At 41.0% G+C, this 21378-nt stretch overlaps 1 protein-coding gene across 15 annotated transcripts in view, besides 2 other annotated features; it reads left to right on the top strand.

Moving 5' to 3' along the window:
* GPBP1L1 (GC-rich promoter binding protein 1 like 1) overlaps positions 1–21378 on the top strand; it is a 60807-nt gene that overhangs the window by 4207 nt on the left and 35222 nt on the right. The window lies entirely within an intron of this gene.
* Positions 3733–4027: a silencer, noted in NCBI's record as "tiled region #13545; K562 Repressive DNase matched - State 14:Gen5'". NCBI's record gives its function as "represses a minimal TATA promoter and a strong SV40 promoter by Sharpr-MPRA in K562 cells {active_cell/tissue: K562}" and the evidence as "EXISTENCE:reporter gene assay evidence [ECO:0000049][PMID:27701403]".
* Positions 6595–7095: an enhancer, noted in NCBI's record as "H3K4me1 hESC enhancer chr1:46142481-46142981 (GRCh37/hg19 assembly coordinates)". NCBI's record gives its function as "activates a minimal SCP1, AML or CMV promoter by ChIP-STARR-seq in primed H9 embryonic stem cells {active_cell/tissue: H9 hESC(primed)}" and the evidence as "EXISTENCE:reporter gene assay evidence [ECO:0000049][PMID:30033119]".

The following is a 21378-nucleotide window of genomic DNA, read 5'->3' as shown; positions in this document are numbered from 1 at the left end:
GTCACCCAGATTGGAGTGCGGTGGCATGATTTCAGCTCACTGCAGCCTCCACCTCTCAGGCTTAAGCAGTCCTCCCACCTCAACCTCCCTAGTAGCTGGGACGACAGGTGCGTGCCACCGCACCCAGCTAATTTTTTTTTTTTTTTTTTTTTGTATTTTATTAGAGAGGAGGGGGAGGGTTCATCCTATTGCCAAGCTGGTCTCGAACTCAGGGACTCAAGCAATGGTCTCGAACTCAGGGACTCAAGCAATCTGCTCACTTTGGCCTCCCAAAGTGTTGGGATTACAGGCGTGAGCCACAGCGCCAGGTCTAAGTAGATACTGTTTTATACCCTATTTTGTAGTTGAGGAAAAGGAGTCCAGAGATTCATCCAGCTGGTAGGTAACAGTCTATATTCAGGCCGGGCGCGGTGGCTCACGCCTGTAATCCCAGCACTTTGGGAGGCCGAGGCGGGCGGATCACGAGGTCAGGAGATGGAGACCATCTTGGCTAACACTGTGAAACCCCGTCTCTACTAAAAATACAAAAAATTAGCTGGGCGTGGTGGTAGGCGCCTGTAGTGCCAGCTACTCGGGAGGCTGAGGCTGGAGAATGGCATGAATCCGGAAGGCAGAGCTTCCAGTGAGCCGAGATCTGCGCTCCAACCTGGGGACAGAGCGAGACTCCCTCTCAAAAAAAAAAAAAAAAAAAAAAAAAAAAGGCCTATATTCAAATTTAGGCAATCTAAGTTGTTGTGTTTAACTTGACTGTTATGGTCACTGCCTTTAAACATGAAAGTAAGACTGTTGGTCTAAAAGATGAAAGGCAGACAAAATTTTAAAGGATTCCAACTAAAAAAAAAAAAACTAATGGGAAAGGCAAATTTTGGTGTATTTATGGTTGTTCAGATAGATGAGGGGAAAAATAACATACCCCCTAAGTGGCTGTAGTTGCTGTTGTCTGGAATTTAATACGTGGTTGTGCTGTTAGAGACCTAATTGCCCAAGTTACTTCTAAATCAGACTTAGTGTTTCCTATTTCCCACTGAAATCTGCCTCAAACAGCCTATAATCAAACTTGGAAAATAGTTCAGTAAGAGGAACTGAACTTTTGTCCACAGGTATACTTTAACTGAGGTAGATATATTTCTAATGTTATGTAAATTGAATTTTTATAGGTGATTTCAAACGTGCTAGGCAAACATTTAAAAGAGCCTATTATTTTTCTTTACTAAGGCAAATAATTGATCTGTTAGCTGAATCATTTTTCAGCTAAAACAGCTCAATCATTTATTTTTGTTAAGAAACTAGGGATTGGGAGTATCTAGATGACCATAAAACAAAGAACTTTACGGTTTAACAGATAATACTTAATAGTTGGAGGATAACATAAAAAGCAATTACTCTTAAAGGAGTTGATTTTAACAAAGTCATTAAGTTCACCTTCCTTTTCTAAGATAAAAACCACTTTGCCTTTTGTTAACCAGAGGTCAGCCTAGAGAATCACCAGAATGAACAAAGTTTTAGTACCCTTTTCTGAGCAGTAGGTCTATTTGTGTGGAGTAAGTTTTTTCCCCCAGAAAAATCTCATTTGGTTAAGTTTAGCTATACTTTAAATTGAGCTTGCAAACTCTGTTTCTGCTTAAGTTTAAAAGTTTGGTATATAAAAAAGTTATTGTCTGAATTATTGCTATCTTTAAAGTTTATAAGTATATAGAAAAGTTGGTTTTGGGGCTGTTTAGTTAATTTGAAAGTAGAGCTTTTCCAGTTTTTGTGCTGTTAGTAAATTTTTCTACTTTTTAATTCGTCTTACCATGTATGGCAGGAAGGGCAATAGGAACCATTTATTGTGGGCTTCATAAACTCAGATGCTGTAATAGAGTCAATTATGTAATCTTATTATTCCTTACTATTTAAAGAAGTAGATATTAACCCTTCTACAAGAGATATACAGAGGTTCCAAGAAGTTAAGTAATTTCGGTAACATAGAGATGGAGATTTGGGCCGCTTTCTGTGATTCCAAAGCATAGTTTCCACCATAGCACACAGAGAAATGGCATAGTATGGTAATCAGTGGTTGGCTTTGTAGCCAGACCATTTGGGTTCGAATCTCAGCTTTGCTGCTTACAGCTTTGTGACTTTGAGTGAATTATTTAAATGAGACTGTTTGCCTGTTTCTTCATCTGTTAAATAGGAACAATAATAGTACCTTCTCCTAGGGTTGTTGTAATAAATAATATTTGTATAATTCTTAAAATAATGTCTGACGGTAAGAACTTCATGATTATTAGAGAAGTTGTCTTTAATGAACATCCTTTAACACACCAATCCAGTGAAATTCAGTGAAATCTGCACAGATGAGTTGCACACGGAGGGGTGTTTTTCTTTCTTAGGTACTACTTTTCTGTTGACCTTTGTAATTTATTTGAATCAGGATCTAGGTCCCACAAACTGCAATTGGCTGCCATTTTAAATGCCTTAATTTGCATATTTCTCCTCAGTTTTTTTCCTTGTACTTTGTTGAAGAAACCAGGTCATTTGTCCTGCAGTTTCCCACATTCTAGATTTTCTTGATTCCTTGTAAATTGGTAGTTGGATATAGAGGCTTAGATTGAGATTTGATTTGGAGATAGAGAAGACTGAGAAGACTAAATTTGTTAGGTGATTCTGTGTATTTGGGGATTTTTATTTTCTGGTTTGTTCAGTGGTTCTCATCTGTATCATTTTCTTGCAATTTCTCTGTTGGGCAACATAGAATAACTTTATGGTTTATTTACTCTCGTTTGAGATGCTAAGTAAAGTGGAGTGTTTGGTTTGCTTTGGTGCCCAATTCAGTATTAACTGTTCCAGGTAGTTTCTTTCCTGCCTTTTTTTTTTCCTACTTGTATATTTATTCTGTTATAAAATTGAGCCAAGTATCATGGGTTTTCAGTGTTCTTGTTTCCTGGTTTTGGTTACTAATGAATAGTTGTCTCAGCATATTCAATCTGAAAATTTCTCAAAACTGAATTTTTTTCCCTATTTTCTACCCTCCAACTATTAGGCATTTTATTATTTGCACTTATGGTATACTCACTGTAGGCTAGGCACTATTCTTTTTTCTTTTTGCAGGGAACAACATCCAGGCATTACTCTTAACACTTTATATACATTCACTCATTTAATCAACAATTCAAGAGTCTCCAAATTAGGTAGGTATTTGGGACAAAAAGGGGTGAAATAACTTATTCAAAGTCACACAGCTAGTGTGTGACAGAGCCATCTAGGTCCAGAATTTGCTATTCTAACTTAAAAATTAATATTTGCATTGGAAGTGAAGCTCATCTAAGAAGAGATTTTTAGAGATGCTTTTAAATGATTCTTTTTAAAAAAAAAAAGTATGTCTCAGCTGGTCATGGTGGCTCACAACTGTAATGCCAGCACTTTGGGAGGCTGAGGCAGGCGGATCACATGAGGCCAGGAGTTTAAGACCAGGCTGGTCAACATGGTGAAACCCTGTCTCTACTAAAAATACAAAAATTAGCCGGGCATGGTGGTGAATGTCTGTAATCCCAGCTGCTCTGGAGGCTGAGGCACTAGAATCACTGGAACCTGGGAGGTGGTGGTTGCAGTGAGCCAAGACTGTGCCATTGAACTCCAGCCTAGGTGACACAGCGAGACTCTGTCTCAAGAAAAAAAAAAAAAAAAAAGCGTGTCTCAATCTGTTAGTCACTACTATTAAATCACTCATTTGTTTAAAAAAACTATAGTTTTGAAAATGTTACAAATAGCCTGTTTACTTGTAATCATAGGGAAATAGAGCCTTTTGGTGCTGCTGAAACTGATAAAAGTTTATTTATTTTGTAGAGACAGGGTCTTGCTCTGTTGCTCAGATTGGAGTGCAGTGGCATGTTCATAGCTCACTGCAGCTTTGACCTCCTAGGCTCAAGTGATCCTCCCACCTCAGCTTCATCCTGGGCCCCCACCCCCCGCCCTGCTGGGAATACAAGTGTGTGCCAGCATGCCTGGCTAATTTTTTTTTTTTTTTTTTTTTGTATAGATAAGAGTCTCTCACTGTTGTCCAGGCTGCTCTTGAACTTCTGGACTCAAGCAATTCCTCCCATCTTTACCTCCCCACATGATGGGATTACAGGCATGAGCCACTGTGCCTTGCCTAAAATTACTTTTTAGGAAATTTTTTTGGAACAATGAAGTAGAAGAAGGCACAGTAATTCAAGTTGATTCCAAATGGCTAGACTGGCAGGATTCCTGTGTTGGACATTTTACTAATTGGGCTTTAAAATGGTTCTTTGTTGTTTCTTTTGTCTGTTTACCATTTTAGCCCCCTTCCAGTATTGCTTTTTTGTGAATCTTATTGGGAGAGGATGCTGGAAAGGTTGGGTGCACACATACACATACCATATAGATAAACTTTCTGTGCTGGACCCCTGGCAGCTAGAGCTGGGTCATGTTACCCAAACTGTGCCAGTCAGATGCCCTTTACTTTGGGGACTTGCACCAGAAGTGAGAGATGCAAAGATGCAAGGACCGTTTGGAGTTCATTCCAGTGGCTGTTGGTGGTGGCATTACTAGCTGGAGCAGTTTCCTAAGCAGGCTCTTCCTGTGGCATGACCTTGGCAGGGGTTTTGAATGCTTAGCTTCCTTTGGTTTTTCGTGTTTGCCAAGTCAAGGGAGCCTCTGCTTCGTCCTCTGAATTCCCAGGGTTCTTCTGATAAATTCCTTTTTAAACTTGTCAGACAATTTTCCCTTTTATCTGCCCCAATTCTCAAAAGTGATAGTTCTCAACCTTTTAAAATTTATCTGGGGTAAGGCCTGGACATCAGTGGTTTATTAAAACTCTCCGTGTCATTCTTTCTTTTTATTATTACAGAAGCAATGTAAGGGTAATGTAGAATATTAGACTATATAGATATGCAAAAATAAAGCCTTGGCATTCCCATCACACAGGAGTTACTACTGTTCACAACTCCGTGCATTTTTTTCCAGATTGTAGTCTAAGTGCATATGTTTAGGTTTCTATTTTTATTTTACTAAATGAGATCAACTTGCTTTTTTTAGTTGGTGATACCCACTTTCCATGTGAGTAAATGATCATTTCTTCTAATACCCAGGTGCTATTCAAATTTCTCCAGCTGATCCAAAAAATGTTTATTACAGCTAGCTATCCAAGCCATTATCTGATTCAGGACCTTGTTGCAAATGTTTACTTTATCTATATCTTTTTAGTGCAGTATAGTCTTTATTTTTCAGTGACACTGATTTTGAGACTGTGTCACTTAACCTGGAGTGGTTTGGTATGATTGCATCCTTATGGTATTATTTAGCTTGTTCTTTTTTTAATTCCTGTATTTTTCTCTAAAGTTTATAGCTGACAGATTGATGGATTCACCTTTAAACATTGTTGACTAAAATACAGCATAGCAATTCCTCATTTTGCATTGTATCACAAAAGACATTGTAATGCTAAGATTGGTTCTTTATTAAGGTAGTCCTATCTATATATTAAACAATCTTTCCCCTTAGAACAAGAAACTAATTTGCATGGTGTTACCTTGGTGGCGAAGGATTTCCCAGTCCCGTATCAATCGTTGGTCTTAATTTTTGGGAGAATAGCTTCATTGAGCTGTAATTTATATAACAAAATACACATATTTAAAGTGTTCGATTTAGTGGTTTTTAGTATATTCGCATTTGTACAACCATTGCTACTAATTGTAGAACATTTTCATCATCCCAAAATAAACTGTAACCATTACCAGTCATTCTTCATTCCTCTCTAGCTCTAGACGACCACTAATCTACTTTCTCTCTCTCTGGATTTGCCTATTCTGGATGTTTCATATAAGTATACCATGTGGTCTTTTGTGTCTGGCTTCTTTCATGTAGCATAATGGATGAAGGTTCATCCATGTTGTAGGATGTTATCAGAATTTCTTGTGGTCATGGGTGATTAGGATTAATGGGTCATAGAGGTTTTACAACTTGTTTGCCAGTTTCCAAAGTGGTTGTGTGCCAGTGTTCACTCTAATCAGCAATATATGAGAATTCTTTGTTTGTGCCTCATCTTCATTAACACTTTGTAGTGTCAGAATTTCTTTTGCCAGTTTGATAGGTGTAAAATAGTCTCATGATTTGATTCAGGTTTTAAGAGTATGAATTAGTGAATAATTCGAGATAATGTTTTATATTGTGCTTTATATTATGTCATAGCACTTCACATGATTTCTCTCATGCACCTCTTATGGGTACAGAAATCCCATTGTTGTCGTTGAATTTGTGATAGAAATACAATTTTTGTTTGTTTATATTTTTTTCTTTTCCTAGCCACTACAGGGATTTTGTTTATTAGACTCCATAATAGACTTTACATATCCATGTTAATCACCATAGTATTAGGTACTTTCTCTTTGTTTTTGCTGTTGTGAAACAGGGTCTCACACTGTAGCACAGGCTGGAGTGTAGTGGCATGATCATCACAGCTCACTGTAGTCTTGACTTCCCAGGCTCCCACCCCAGCCTTCCAAGTAGTTGGGACTACAACACCACTATGCCTGGCTAAAATTCTTTTTTTTTTTTTTTTTTTCCTGAGACGAATCTTCCTCTGTCACCCAGGCTGGAGTGCAGTGGCGCAATCTCAGCTCACTCACTGCAACCTCCGCCTCCTAGGTTCAAGCAGTTCTCCTGCCTTAGTCTCCCGAGTAGCTGGGACTACAGGCATGCGCCACCATGCGTGGCTAATTTTTGTATTTTTAGTAGAGATGGGGTTTCACCACATTGGCCAAGCTGGTCTCAAACTCCTGACCTGAAGTGATCCACCTGCCTCAGCCTCCCAAAGTGCTGGGATTACAGGCGTGAGCCACTGCACTGGCCCTTTTTTTTTTAGCTTTGTTTTGTTTTTTTTTGGTAGAGATCTTACCATGTGGCTCAGGTTGATGGCAAACTCCTGGGCTCAAGTGATCCTCCCTCTTCGGCCTCCCAAAGTATTGGGATTACAGGCATGAGCCACCGTTCCTGGCGAAGTACTTTGTTGTTGTTGTTGCTGTTTTGAGACAGGGTCTCTCTGTGTCACCCAGGCTGGAGTGCAGTGGCACAATCATGGCTCACTGCAGCTTAGACCTCCTGGATTCAAGGGATCCTCCCACTTCAGCTTCCCAAGTAGCTGGGACTACAGGCATGTGCCACCATGCCTAATTTTTTTTTTTTTTTTTTTTTTTGAGACAGAGTTTCGCTCTTGTTGCCCAGGCTGGAATGCAGTGGTGCAGTCTCGGCTCACTGCAACCTCTGCCTCCCGAGTTCAAGCTATTCTCCTGCCTCAGCCTCCCGAGCAGCTGGGATTACAGGTGCCTGCCACCAAGCCCGGCTAATTTTTTGTATTTTTAGTAGAGAAAGGGTTTCACCATGTTAGCCAGGATGGTCTTGATCTCCTGACCTCAGGTGATCCTCCCACCTCGGCCTCCCAAAGCTGGCTAATTTTTTTGTGTTTTTTTGTAGAGATGGGGTCTTGCCCTGTTTCCCAGGTTTGTCTTAAACTCCTGGGCTCAAGCAGTCTGCTCACCCTGGCCTCCAAAAGTGCTGGAATTACAGGCATGAGCCACTGTGCTCAGCCCCAAGTATTTTCTTAATAGACAGAAATGCTGTATGGGAAAAAAAATCTTAAGGTATCTTATGTCCCCTTTTGGTTCATTGAAAGACTTGCTCAAATTTCATATTCTTCAGAAAATCTTAAATAGGAATTTTTCTCTTCTGGAGATAAAATAAGTAGTACTAAAGTAGAAAATGGCTTTGGGCTCTTTTCTGTTAAGAATTAGAAATAAAAGAAGCAAGGCACTAATAACCCTTGAGTTCTCCTTGTTGAGGACTTAGGAGGGAAACTATGTACAGATAGAAAATGAGTATATAGACTACTGTAAGGTTATACAGTCCTTTGAAGGAAGTCCCTTAAACCTGTGTGGTTTTCAAATCATGAGATTTTGAAAAGAAATATTAGGGTTAGTGAATATTTAAAGATAAACATACTATAGTCTTAGGATCTGCAGTTTAAGGAATAAGGAATGCTCAAGGATAGCTCTTAAGAACAGTAAGAAGGCTGGGTACAGTGGCTCATGCCTGTAATCCTAGCACTTTGGGAGGCCGAGGCTGGTGGATTGCTTGACTCCAGGAGTTTGAGACCAGCCTGGGCAACATGGCCAAGACCCTGTCTCTACAAAAATTACAAAATATAGCCAGGCATGGTGATAGGTGCCTGTAGTCCTTGCTACTTGGGAAGCTGAGCTGGGAGGATCACTCGAGCCTGGGAGGTCAACTGTAATGAGCCGTAATCGTGCCACTGCACTCCAGCCTAGGCAACAGAGTGAGACCCTGTCTCAAAAAAGAACAGTTAAGATGAAGGGGATACTAATTTATAGAATTGTCAACACCTTTAAAAAATTACCATTTATTGGGCACCCACTAAATAGACCCCGTCTATAAAAAGATAGAGATAATCACCTTTGCTATTAATCCCTACCAAGTGTGTCCCATTTGTAAGGGAGATAAATACATAAAAAGGTAAGTGTAATGCATTGTAATGGGCCCATGAAGCAAGAATTTTTTATTTTTTTATTTTTATTTATTTATTTTTATTTTTTTTGAGACAGAGTCTCGCTCTGTTGCCAGGCTGGAGTGCAGTGGCTCGATCTCGGCTCACTGCAACCTCCGCCTCCTGGGTTCAAGCGATTCTCCTGCCTCAGCCTCCCAAGTAGCTGGGACTACAGGCATGCACCTCCACGCCCAGCTAATTTTTGTATTTTTAGTAGAGACGGGATTTCACCATGTTAGCCAGAATGGTCTTGATCTCTTGACCTTGTGATCTGCCCACCTCGGCCTCCCAATGAAGCAAGAGTTTAAGTCACTCACTTGGAGACCTGAAGTCTTGAAAATTGATGAGATAATGAAGAGCACAGAAAAACAAGAAAAGGACTACATGGAAGCATTTAAAGAACCATTACATTGACAAGAGAAAGGAAGAGTCCGAAAAAAGTACAGCTACTCCTTGACTTACATCTGGATAAACCCATTTGTAATTTGAAAATAATGTTAAGTTGAAAATGCACTTAATATGCCTAACCTACGAAGCATCATAGCTTAGCCTAGCCTACCTTACACGTTTTCAGAATGCTTACATGAGCTTGCTGTTGGGCAGAATCATCTGGCAACACATACCCTGTACAGTATCAGGTGTTTACTGTTGTCTAACCCTTGTGACTGACTGGGAGCTATGGCTTGCTGGCACTGCCCAGCATCACACGAAAATATTGTACTGCGTATTGCTAGCCTGGGCAAAGATCACAATTCAAAGTATGGTTTCTGTTGAGTTGCTTTCTCACCTCACAATATTGTAAAGTTGAACAATCTTAAATTGAACTATCGTCCTAAGTTAGGGACCATCTGTAATCACAGGGTAGGGAGAAGATCAGGATATGTTAATACAGTGGTTGTCACTCATTGCTGCTCTCTGACAAAGACTTCAGCCCTTTGTGAATATTATCAATGTAAGATTGTTAACTTTTTTTTAAGGTGAGTTGTTCCTTTTTCCAAGATTTGTCTTTTATGACATACTGTCTTTAATGAAATTGTGATATTAAAATTTTTAATCTTCTACTTATCCAAATAAAATAGGCAATCCTGTGTCAGTCCTTAAAACATCTTTTGAATTTTTTTAGCTTGATGTAATCCAGGTTTGAGAACTGCTGGTCTAATGATGTAATGTCATGGAAATCAGGGGATTTAAGATGGGTTTTGCTAAGGAACATGTAAACAGTGTAAGCCATTGAAGTTGGGGATTCACAGGTTATTGACTTTTTCTTTTTTTTGACAATTTCACTCTTTCACACAGGCTGGAGTGCAATGGCACAATCTCGGCTCACTGCAGCCTCCCGCTCCCGTGTTCAAGAGATTCTCGTGATTTAGCCTCTTGAGTAGCTGGAATTACAAGCCTGGGCCACCGTGCCTGGCTTTCATTGACTTTTGAGAGTATATTGATTAGGGTTCTTTGTTGTAGAAAACAATTTTTTTTGTTTGTTTGTTTGAGACGGAGTCTTGCTCTGTTGCCTGGCCTGGAGTGCAGTGGCGTGATCTTGGCTCAGTGCAACCTCTGTCTCCCGGATTCAAGCAATTCTGCCTCAACCTCCCGACTAGCTGGGATTACAGGCATGTGCCATTACGCCTGGCTAATTTTTTTGTATTTTTAGTAGAGATGGGGTTTCACCATATTGGTCAGGTTGGTCTTGAACTCCTGACCTTGTGATCCGCCTGCATTGGCCTCCCAAAGTGCTGGGATTACAGGCGTGAGCCACCGCGCCCAGCCGAAAACAAATATTTAAAAGCATGGTTGTGTATCTTTCAACCACAGTCAGCTTCATGGGTGACAAGCAAAGTAAGCAAGAACTGGGATCTTAACTTAGATTGGCATTTGGGGAATTGGGTATGGGTCAGTGAGAAGAGCAAGAGACTTCAGGGAGTCAAAAGTCATGGTAGCTTACAAGTGTGGGCCCTTACTCTGCTGGGAAGCTCTGCTGTATCTCTGTAGTTCATTCTTCAGTTTCACGCTTTAATTCTTCTCACACCCCTCAACTCCTCTGCACCTACCCATACTTTTAGCTGAAGGTCTTGCTGTCTACTTAGTTGAGAAGATAGAAGCAATCAGGGTAGACCTTCCAAGCTCTCATTGCATTAGTACCCACGTGTTCTGCTTTCCCACCTATGTATTCATGAGCCTGCTGAAGGCCAGTCTTCACTGGTACATCCCATCTCACCCCTCTGAACTGCTGAAGGATATTTCAGCAGTTTTCTGTATCAGCTGCATCGTTTTCTTTTTCTACTGGGTTATTCCTATCAGTGCAGTAAAAAACTTATTTTGACCACACATCCCCTTTTAGCCTACATGCTCCTTTTCTCTGTTGTGCAGCAACACTTCTCAAAAGAGTTGTCTATACTTTTAGTCTCCAGTTCCTTCCCTCTTGAACTCACTGGAATCAGGCTTTCACCACCTCCCCTATCCAACATCATCACTGACACTTCCATGTGAATCCAGTGATGAGTTCTCAGCTTTTTATCCTATTTAATAACATTTGAAAATGGTCACTCTACCTTCTTGAAACATGTTTCTGCTTAGCTTCTGGGTCCCCACACTTTGATGGTTTTTTTCCTCAGTCTCCCCAATCTTTAAAGCTGTATGTCAAGGTTCCATCTCTTTTTACGTTCACTTTGTTGATGATCTCATCTGGGTCCATGGATTTAAATAAAATTGGTCTACAGTCTGTATTTCTGTCATGAACTGCAGACTCTTATCCAGCTATCTACTTAACATCTCCACTTCGATGTCTGGTAGGCACCTAAAAGTTAACATGTGTATAAAAAGAGTTCTTCTGTCTCTCATTATTTGTGGAATCTATAGACAAATTATTAGAATTAATGAGAGTTTAGCAAGGTTGCTGGATATAATTTATGCCAGCAGTAAACAGCCATTTAAAGGAAATAATGCAATAGCATCAAAAAATATATATAAAGGTACCTAAGAATAAATCCTTTTTTTTTTTTTTTTGTCGCCTGGGCTGGAATGCAGTGGCACAATCTCAGCTCACTGCAACCTCCGCCTCCCGGATTCAAGTGATTCTCCTGCCTCAGCCTCCCGAGTAGTTGGGACTACAAGCGCCTGGCCACCATGCCCAGCTAATTTTTTTATTTTTAGTAGAGACATGGTTTCATAGTGTTGGCCAGGCTGGTCTCGAGCTCCTGACCTCGTGATTTGCCTGCCTTGGCCTCCCAAAGTGCTGGGATTACAGGCATGAGCCACCGCACCCAGCCTGAATAAATCTTTTTAAAAAGGTATTATTGCATCTTTATGGAGAAAAGTTTAGAACTTTATTTGATGATGTTAAAGAAGACTTAAATAAGAAGTTGACCGTGCTCATGATTTGGAAGATTTATTATGAAGATGTCAGTTCTCCCATTTTGATCTAGATTTATTGCCATTCCAAGCAATGTCATAGCAATATTTTCCCCCTTAAATTTGACAGTTGTTTTTAAAATTATTTATTTATTTATTTATTTATTATTATTAGAGACAGAGTCTCGCTCTGTCACCCAGGCCTGGAGTGCAGTGATGCCATCTCTGCTCACTGCGGCCTCAGCTTCCCAGGTTCAAGCAATTCTCCCACCTCAGCCTCCTGAGTAGTTGGGACTACAGGTGCAAGCCACCACATGCAGCTGATTTTTGTATTTTCTTTGTTGTAGAGATGGGGTTTCACCATGATGCTGAGGTTGATTTCAAACTCCTGAGCTCAAGCAATTCTCCCACCTCAGCCTCCCAAAGTGCTGGAATTACAGGCATGTACCACCGTGCCTGGCCTGTTTTAAAACTAATATTAAAGAGTCAGAGAGGCTGGGCATGGTGGCTCAAGCCTGTAATCCCAGCATTTTGGGAGGCCCAGGTGGATCAGTTGAGGCCAGGAGTTCAAGACCAGCTTGGCCAACATGGTGAAACCCCGTGTCTACTAAAAATACAAAAATTAGCTGGGCATGGTGGCACATGCCTGTAATCCCAGCTACTTGAGAAGGTGAGGCACGAGATTTGCTTGAACCTGGGAGGCAGAGGTTGCAGTGAGCTGAGATCACACCACTGTACTCCAGCCTAGGTGATGGAGTGAGACTGTCTCAAAAAAAAAAAAAAAAAAAAGCCAGAGAGCCAAGAATAGCTAAGGCATTTTATAGGTATATTATGAGGGGAGATGGCCTTGCTCTAATACATATCAGAATATTATTGTAAAGGTATGATAGTTAAGACATATGGTAGTCCGGGCGCGGTGGCTCACGCCTGTAATCCCAGCACTTTGGGAGGCTGAGGCGGGCGGATCACTTGAGGTCAGGAGTTCGAGACAAGCCTGGCTAACACAGTGAAACCCCGTCTCTAGTGAAAATACAAAAAATTAGCTGGGTGTGGTGGCGGGCGCCTGTAGTCCCAGCTACTCGGGAGGCTGAGGCAGGAGAATGGCGTGAACCTGGGAGGCGGAGCTTGCAGTGAGCCGAGATCACACCACTGCACTCCAGCCTGGGTGACAGAGTGAGACTCCATCTCACAAAAAAAAAAAAAAAAAAAAAGACATATGGTAGTAGTGTAGAAATATGTAAATAAGCCAATGGAACATAAATTTGGAAGCAGTTGCATACATATATAGAAACAATTTATGATAGAGCTGGCTGTATAAATCAGTGGAAAAAGAATACTTCTGGGACAGTTTTTTTTTCATATGGAAAAGAATGAAATTGGACCTGGGTCTCATACCGTATACAAATCATTTCCAACTGATTGTAAATGTGAAAGACAAAACTTAAAACTAAGAAGTCAATATAGGTAAATTGTTTGGACCTTGGAGAAGAACTGTTACAAACAAGACACAGAAATGTGAATCATAAAGGAAATGACCAGCAGCTTTGATTGCATCTAAATTAAGAACGTGTGCTCATCAAGACATGGGAAAGAAAATCAAAAGATAACCCATGAAGTGGAAAAAGGTATTTGCAACTCATATAATCATAGGATTCGTATCTGATTTATTCTCTTGCATTAATAAGATCAACAACCAAAAGAAGAATGGTAAAAAGAATAGGTATCCTATAAAAAGGGAAGTACAAAGACCTGATAAATAGATTAAAAGACCACACAGTAGGTGATCGTGTTAAACCTACCAGCAGAGCAAAGAATAACCTCCAGTCTGGCCATATGTAGTTTGGTTGAAGATGTAAAGCAGATGGAACGCTTAAAATGCTGCTGCTGATGGTGAAAACTGGTTACACGTTGTTCAGAAGTATTATGACATTACCTTGTGAAGTTGAAGATGTACTGCCCTACTAGTCACCAAAGCATTTATTAATACACTCATTCAGGAAATATTTATCTACTATGTTCCAGATAGTGTTCTGTGTGCTTGGGATCAGTGGGAGACAGATAAAGATAGATTGATAACTAGTGATACAGGGAAATACTAAAAAGGAGTTCAGTTTTGTGCCAACTTATGTTTTTCATTTTTATGGATATAAGTTCTAAGAATGTTACATACTGTTTGATCAGTGCCACTCAGTTCTTTGAATCCTTGTATTTACTAAAAGTCACTTCACAATCCATCAAAAATTATTTTTAATGATCCCTTAGCTGAGAACTACATTCTTTTTCTATTTTGTGGAATACACAGATTGTAAACTATCCAATTAGTTTATGAAATCATGTTACTTAGTCATTTTCTCAATTTTGGCAGGGGGTTGGAGGGGGGGTCATACCCAAAAGCCTTTACCCCGAAGAAGACTTTCAAATGACTAAACTATGTCTGTTATTCTTTTACTTAAAGTCACTTTGTTTATGGAGCCAAAATTAAACAAGGCTGGTCAAAAGTCAGATGCTGCATACTTTTAGATTTTCCCATAGAGCTATTAAATCCCTGGGCTGGCCACAGTGGCTCACACCTACAATTCTAGCACTTTGGGAGGCTGAGGCAGAAGGGCCCCTTGAGGCCAGGAGTTTGACACCAACCTGAGCAACATAGTGAGACCTCCATCTCTAGCACCACTGTTGGTGGCATGCGCCTATTGTCTCAGCTACTTGGGAGGCTAAAGCAAGAGGATTGCTTAAACTCAGGAGCTTAAAGCTATGGTGAACTATGATTGTGCCAATGTACTCTAGTCTGGGCAACAGAGTGAGACCCTGTCTCCAAAAAAAGAAAGAATAATCTCTGTATTTGAGCCAAACTTAAATGGTGTTACAGAGAGGACAATGCTTTTTAATTGTTTTATATAGTATAGATAGAATGGAAACTATTTCATGGTTGAAGATGTGCTCAAAATTATGCTTTTGACAGAATTAAAATGGTGTATCAATGACAGATGGAGAATGTATTGAAATTAAGTGAAGCTTTTAATTTTTATTTTTTTAGACACAGTCTCACTGTCACCCAGACTGGAGCGCAGTAGTACAGTCATAGCCTACTGCAACCTTGAATTCCTGGGCTCAAGGTGAGGTGATTGTCTCACCTCAGCCTCCCAAGTAGGCGCCCACCACCATGCCTGGCTAAGTTTTAAATTTTTTGTAGATACAGGGTCTCCCTATTTTGCCTAGGCTGGTGAAGTTTTTCAAGTTTAGGGCATTACATCGGCCATTAACATCCTCAAGAACATTTGTTCAGCCTAATATGTAGATGCAGGTGTTCTGTTTTGGTTTTTTTGTTTTGTTTTTGTTTTTGAGACAGAGTCTTGCTCTGTTGCCCAGGCTGGAGTGCAGTGGTGTGATCTCGGCTCACTGCAACCTCTGCCACTTCCCGGGTTCAAGCAGTTCTTGTGCCTCAACAGCCCAACTAGCTAGGATTACAGGTGTGTGCCATCATGCCCGGCTAATTCTTGTATTTTTAGTAGAGATGAGGTTTCACCATGTTGGCCAGGATGGCCTTGAACCCCTGACCTCAAGTTATCCGCCTGCCTCAGCCTCCCAGAGTGCTGAGATGACAGGCGTGAGCCACTGCACCTGGCTAGGTGTTCTGTTTTTAAGTGTGCAATTTAATTTATTAGGTACTTAAAAAATTTCATAAATATTCCTACAGAATTTTGAATACTATAAATATATTCATTCTTATTTCAGCGCATATCTTTTCTAAACTGTCATTCATCAACCATTTCTCTGCAAACTTATTTATGCCTATCATATACTAGTTAGATTAACTTAATGGGAATATTTTGAAAATAGAGGGGTACCAGTCAGAGCTGTGGGAGAAAGGTAATTTTCTGTGGGTTGAGGAATAAATGGGTGAGTGAGGAAATAAAGACAATAAGGGTACACTATTCTGTATAGATTTTTGTTAAGACTAGAGGGCAGGCGTGGCTCACACCTGTAATCCCAGCACTCTTGGAGGCCAAGGCAAGTGGATCACTTGAGGCCAGGAGTTGGAGACCAGCCTGGCCAACATGGTGAAACTCCGTCTCTACTAAAAATACAAAATACAGGTCACACATGCCTGTAATCTCAGCTGTTCGGGAGGCTGAGGCACAAGAATTGTTTGAACCCAGGAGGTGGGGGTTGCAGTGAGCCAAGATTGAGCCATTGTACTCCAGCCTGGGCGACAATGAGACTCTGTCTCAAAGAACTGGAGAGTAAAGCACATAAAGGATATACCTGGAGCAAGATACAGGCTCTAGGAAGGGGGTTTGTTTTAATTTGGAGAATTGGATACAGTTTTTTGTTAAGTGGACTCAGTGTAAATAGAAGTTGAAGTTACCAGAAGGAATAAATTGATGATGCTACTGGACTCTGGAGAAAATGAGTGGTTGAAGCCAAGAGCACTGGTAGTGTTGTATCTAGGTAAAAGGAGCCTGAAGTAGAGGTAATTGAGATAAGACTCTTGGCCGGGGAGGTGCTCTCCTAGCAGTATAAACTTAATTATAAAATATAAAATTAGGTCATGTTGTGAAGTACCGAATAGTGCGCCTGACATATGAGGTGCCCGATAAGTTGGAGGTTTTGAAGAGATAAAATATTTGACAGATGTTTATGAATGAATGGTTGGATCAAGTATTCAGATACAAGGAGTTTGTAGAGAGGGAGCAAAAGTACTTATGTAATCTGAAAAAGAATGGGTGATGTAGGGCAGTGTTTGTATTTAATATTAACATTGACTGCTTTATTATAATTTTTTTAGTTATGGGAAAATACAAGATTTACCATCATAAGCAATTAAAAAAGTGTGCAATTCCATGGCATGAAGTACATTCTCAGCGTTGTGCAACCATCACCACTATGTAGTTCCAGAACCTTTTCTTACCCCAAACTAAATTTTCATCTATATTAAGCAGTCACACCCCATTCCCTCCTCTTCCCAGTCCCTGGTAATCACTGATCTGTTTTTAGCTCTGTGAGACTGGATGTTTCATATAAGTGGAATAATACAACTTACAGTTTTTGTGTCTGCCTTCTTTCATTTAACGTAATATTTTCATGGTTCATCCATGTTGTAGCTTATATCAGTACTTCATTTCCTTTTTATAGCTGAATAATAGCCTGTGGTGTGAATATACAGTATTTTGTTCATTCATCTGTTGATAGACATTTCAGTTGTTTCTGCTTTGTAGCTATTGTGAATAAGGCTGCTGTGAACGTTCATGTACAAGTGTTGTGTGGACATGTTTTTATTTCTCTTGGATATATACCTAGAAGTAGAATTATTAGGTCATATGGTGCCTCAGTGTTTAATCAGTTATTCACAGTAGCTGCACCATTTTACATTTCTACCAGCAATACATTAGGTTTCTAATTTCTCTGCATCCTTGCTTTATTATAATTCATAAAAATTTATTAAACTTTTGAATCCTTACCATATGCATGGTACCATGCTAGATACATGCTGTGTGTGTCCTGGAAGAAGTGAGTATTAGTGGCTTAATAGGCACAATTAAAGTACTTTGAGGCCGAGCGCGGTGGCTCACACCTGTAATCCCAGCACTTTGGGAGGCCGAGGCGGGCGGATCACCTGAGGTCAGGAGTTCAAGACTAACCTGACCAATATGGTGAAACCCCGTCTCTACTAAAAATACAAAAATTAGCCGGGTGTGGTGGTGGGCGCCTGTAGTCCCAGCTACTTGGGAGGCTGAGACAGGAGAATTGCTTGATTCTCCTGGGGGATGGAGGTTGCAGTGGGTGCCACTGGGGGATGGAGGTTGCAGTGGGTGCCACTGCACTCCAGCCTGGGTGACAGAAGACTCCGTCTAAAAAAAAAAAGTGTTTGAAGATTTCATTTTCAGAGGCAGGGATTACTTCCAGACAGAGTATTAAAGGAGACTTTTTAGACTGGTTTTTGAGGGGTGGGGGAAAGGCTTATTTCTTGTCTCTTAGACTGAGGAATTTAAATCCTGTCGTATTGTTGGTGGGAAATCAGAACTTTTTGAGCAGGGTAGTGATATAATTACAACCTAAGTCTAGGAACAGAGAGTGGCAACCAGTAGGAGAGGCTGAGGCAGATGGTGGAAAGAGACTAGTAGTGCCTAAAAAATTAGTTTTTTAAGTTAGAGAGTAATTTGACCTTGAAGAGTCGAAAGTAACAGGTGGAAAAGAAGTAATGAAATAAACAAGACTTGGAAACTTTCCTTTTTTTTTTTTTTTTTTTTTTTTAAGACGGCGTCTCGCTCTGTTGCCCAGGCTGGAGTGCAGTGGTGGCGTGATCTTGGCTCACTGCAACCTCCGCCTCCCGGTTTCAAGCGATTCTCCTGCCTCAGCCTTCTGAGTAGCTGGGATTACAGGCATGCACCACCACACCCGGCTAGTTTTTGTATTTTTAGCAGAGACAGGGTTTCACCATGTTGGTCGGGCTGGTCTCGAACTTGTGATCCGCCTGCCTCAGACTCTCAAAGTGCTGGGATTACAAGTGTGAGCCACCGCGCTTGGCCAACTTTTCCATCTTTATGTTCTCCTTGGATTTCACCTATTCCCAAACTTTAAATGTTGTCTACCAAATACTGACAATTATGAAAATTCTACCAGTAGAACACACCTCCCCTTTGAGCTCCAGAGCACATGCTTGACATCTCATATTAGAAAGAATCTTGATTTCCCCTCCAGTCTAGTCTTTCATGTTTTGTTTTTCTTTGTGAGAGTCTCCCTCAGCCTGCAATGGCGTGATCTCGGCTCACTTCAACCTCCCGAGTTCAAGCAATTCTCCTGCCTCAGCCTCCCAAGTAGCTGGTATTACAGGTGCCAGCCACGACACCCAGCGAATTTTTGTATTTATAGTAGAGACGGGGGTTTCACCATATTGGCCAGGCTGGTCTCGAACTCCTGATTTCAGGTGATCCAACCCCCTTGGCCTCCCAAAGTGCTAGGATTACAGGTGTGAGCCACCACGCCCGGCCATCTTTCATCTTTTTTAACAGTTCTATGAGGCCAGGTGCAGTGGCTCACACCTTTAATCCCAGCACTTTGGGAGGCCCAGGCGGTGGATCATTTCAAGTCAGGAGTTCAAGACCAACCTGGCTAACATGGCGAAACTCTATCTCTGCTAAAAATACAAAAATTAACCGGGTGTGGTGGTGGGTGCCTGCAATCCCAGCTGCTTGAGAGGCTGAGGCATGAGAATTGCTTGAACCCGGGAGGAGGCAGAGGTTGCAGTGATCTGAGGTCATGCCACTGCACTCCAGCCAGGGTCACGAAGTAAGACCTCATCTCAAAAACAAAACAAAACAAAACAAAAAAACTGTGAGATGCTTGAGCTCAGGCATTTGAGACCAGCCTAGGCAACATAGTGAAACCCCATCTCTATGGAATAATTTTATTTTATTTTATTTTATTTTATTTGAGGCAGAGTCTTGCTCTGTCACCCAAGCTGGAGTGCAGTGGCCCATCTCCGCTCACGGCAAGCTCCACCTCCCGGGTTCACGCCATTCTCCTGCCTCAGCCTCCGTAGTAGCTGGAACTACATGCGCCCACCACCACGCCCAGCTAATTTTTTGTATTTTTAGTAGAGTCGGGGTTTCACCGTGTTAGCCAGGATGGTCTCAATCTCCTGACCTCGTGAGCCACCACGCCCGGCCTTTTTTTTGAGACGGAGTCTCACTCTGTTGCCCAGGCTGGAGTGCAGTGGCAACGATCTCGGTTCACTGCAAGCTTCACCTCCCGGGTTCCCGCCATTCTCCTGACTCAGCCTCCCGAGTAGCTGGTACTACAGGCGCTTGCCACCATGCCCAGCTAATTTTTTGTATTTTTAGTAGAGACGGAGTTTTACCATGGTCTCGATTTCCTGACCTCGTGATCCGCCCACCTCGGCCTCCCAAAGTGCTGGGATTACAGGCGTGAGCCACCGCGCCTGGCCCAAGAAATTTTTTTTTAATTAGCTCAGCATGGTGGCTTTCACCTGCAGTCCCAGCTACTCAGGACCCTGCTCTATTGTCTCAGAAAAAAAAAAAGTTCTAAGAGAATTTTAAATGATGTGTTTTTTCTTCTCAGAATTTTTTAGTAATAAGCAGAAGTCTCCCAGTTAGCCGTTCTGTAAAAATAGCCACAGCCCTAAAAGACATCACTAAAGATCTTTAATTTAAAATTTTCAGAGCAAGTAAGTTCGTTACAAAAACTTTTGACTAATAGAGAAGATAAAACAAAATGCCCATAATTCCACCATTCTAATAAAACCATTATTAACATTTTGGGATTTTTCCTTTTAGTCTTTTACTTCCAGAACAGAAATCTCTTTTATCTGTCTTCTTCATTTTTTATTTGTTCTGTTTGATTAAGTGTCCCCACTTATGGCGCATCTCCTCTCAACCACATACTCTGCACATGCATGTGTAGGTCACACTCTTTACACTTCAGATATCCCAGCTTCTTGAGGGTGATGGGTGAGTAATTGTTAGTAGGACCCGTAATAGTAGCAAAGTATTGCTAGTTAGTATTTCTTCTACAGTCACTGCCTAAGTTGGGACTCTGCTATAGAAACTTTGGATTCGGTATGTAAAACACTGAAAAGGTGGTGGTGTGTGTCAGTTGGAAAACCGGAAGGTACCTAGTGGTGATTGAAAAGAGGGAATTGTTTATGTTGAAAATTGAGGCATTTTCCTTTGTGTCCAACAGCTTTATACCCTAACAGATGATTTATCTCTCTGTCTTGAACTTCAGGTTCTCTGTGGTTTAAACTAGAATTCGTAAGATAAAAAGTACGCACCAGACAGTTATTTATATCTTTTCCATATGGATGCTTGACTTATTTTTCCAGAATAACTTCACTACAGGGACAGTTTCATTTATCTATTACTGAGAGTTACAGGTGTAGGCTTATATAAAAACAATTTTGGGGTTTTTTGCTTTTTTTTTTTTTTGAGACAGAGTCTGGCTCTGTCACCCAGGCTGGAGTGCATTGGTGGGATCTCGGCTCACTGTAACCTCCGCCTCCCGGATTCAAGTTATTCTCTTGCCTCAGCCTCCTGAGTAGCTGGAACTATGGGCATGCACCACCATGCCTGGCTAATTTTCGTATTCTTAGTAGTGACGGGGTTTCACCATGTTGGCCAGGCTGGTCTTGAACTCTTGACCTCCATTAATCCACTGTCTCGGTCTCCCAAAGTGCTGGGATTATAGGCGTGAGCCACCGCACCCGGCCTAATATTCTTTTAAGTGTTAGAAGTTTATAAAAAGAGCAATAAGTGAATAGTCATCTTGTACCCATCGCTCAACTTGAGAAATAAGGCATTACAGATACAGTTGAAACTCTTTGGGGCCTCTCTTTTATTGCCCTTCATTTCCCCAGAGATACTTACTATCCTGAATTTGATATTTCTTATTCCTATGAACTTATTCCCATGAACAATAGTGCAAGGCTGCTGAATTGGATATATGAGAAATAT

The sequence above is a fragment of the Homo sapiens genome, chromosome 1 (assembly GCF_000001405.40).
Source record: "Homo sapiens chromosome 1, GRCh38.p14 Primary Assembly".
Lineage (NCBI taxonomy): Eukaryota > Metazoa > Chordata > Mammalia > Primates > Hominidae > Homo > Homo sapiens.
The sequence above is the reverse complement of the archived record's forward strand: the minus strand, read 5'-3'. Positions and strand labels throughout refer to the sequence as shown.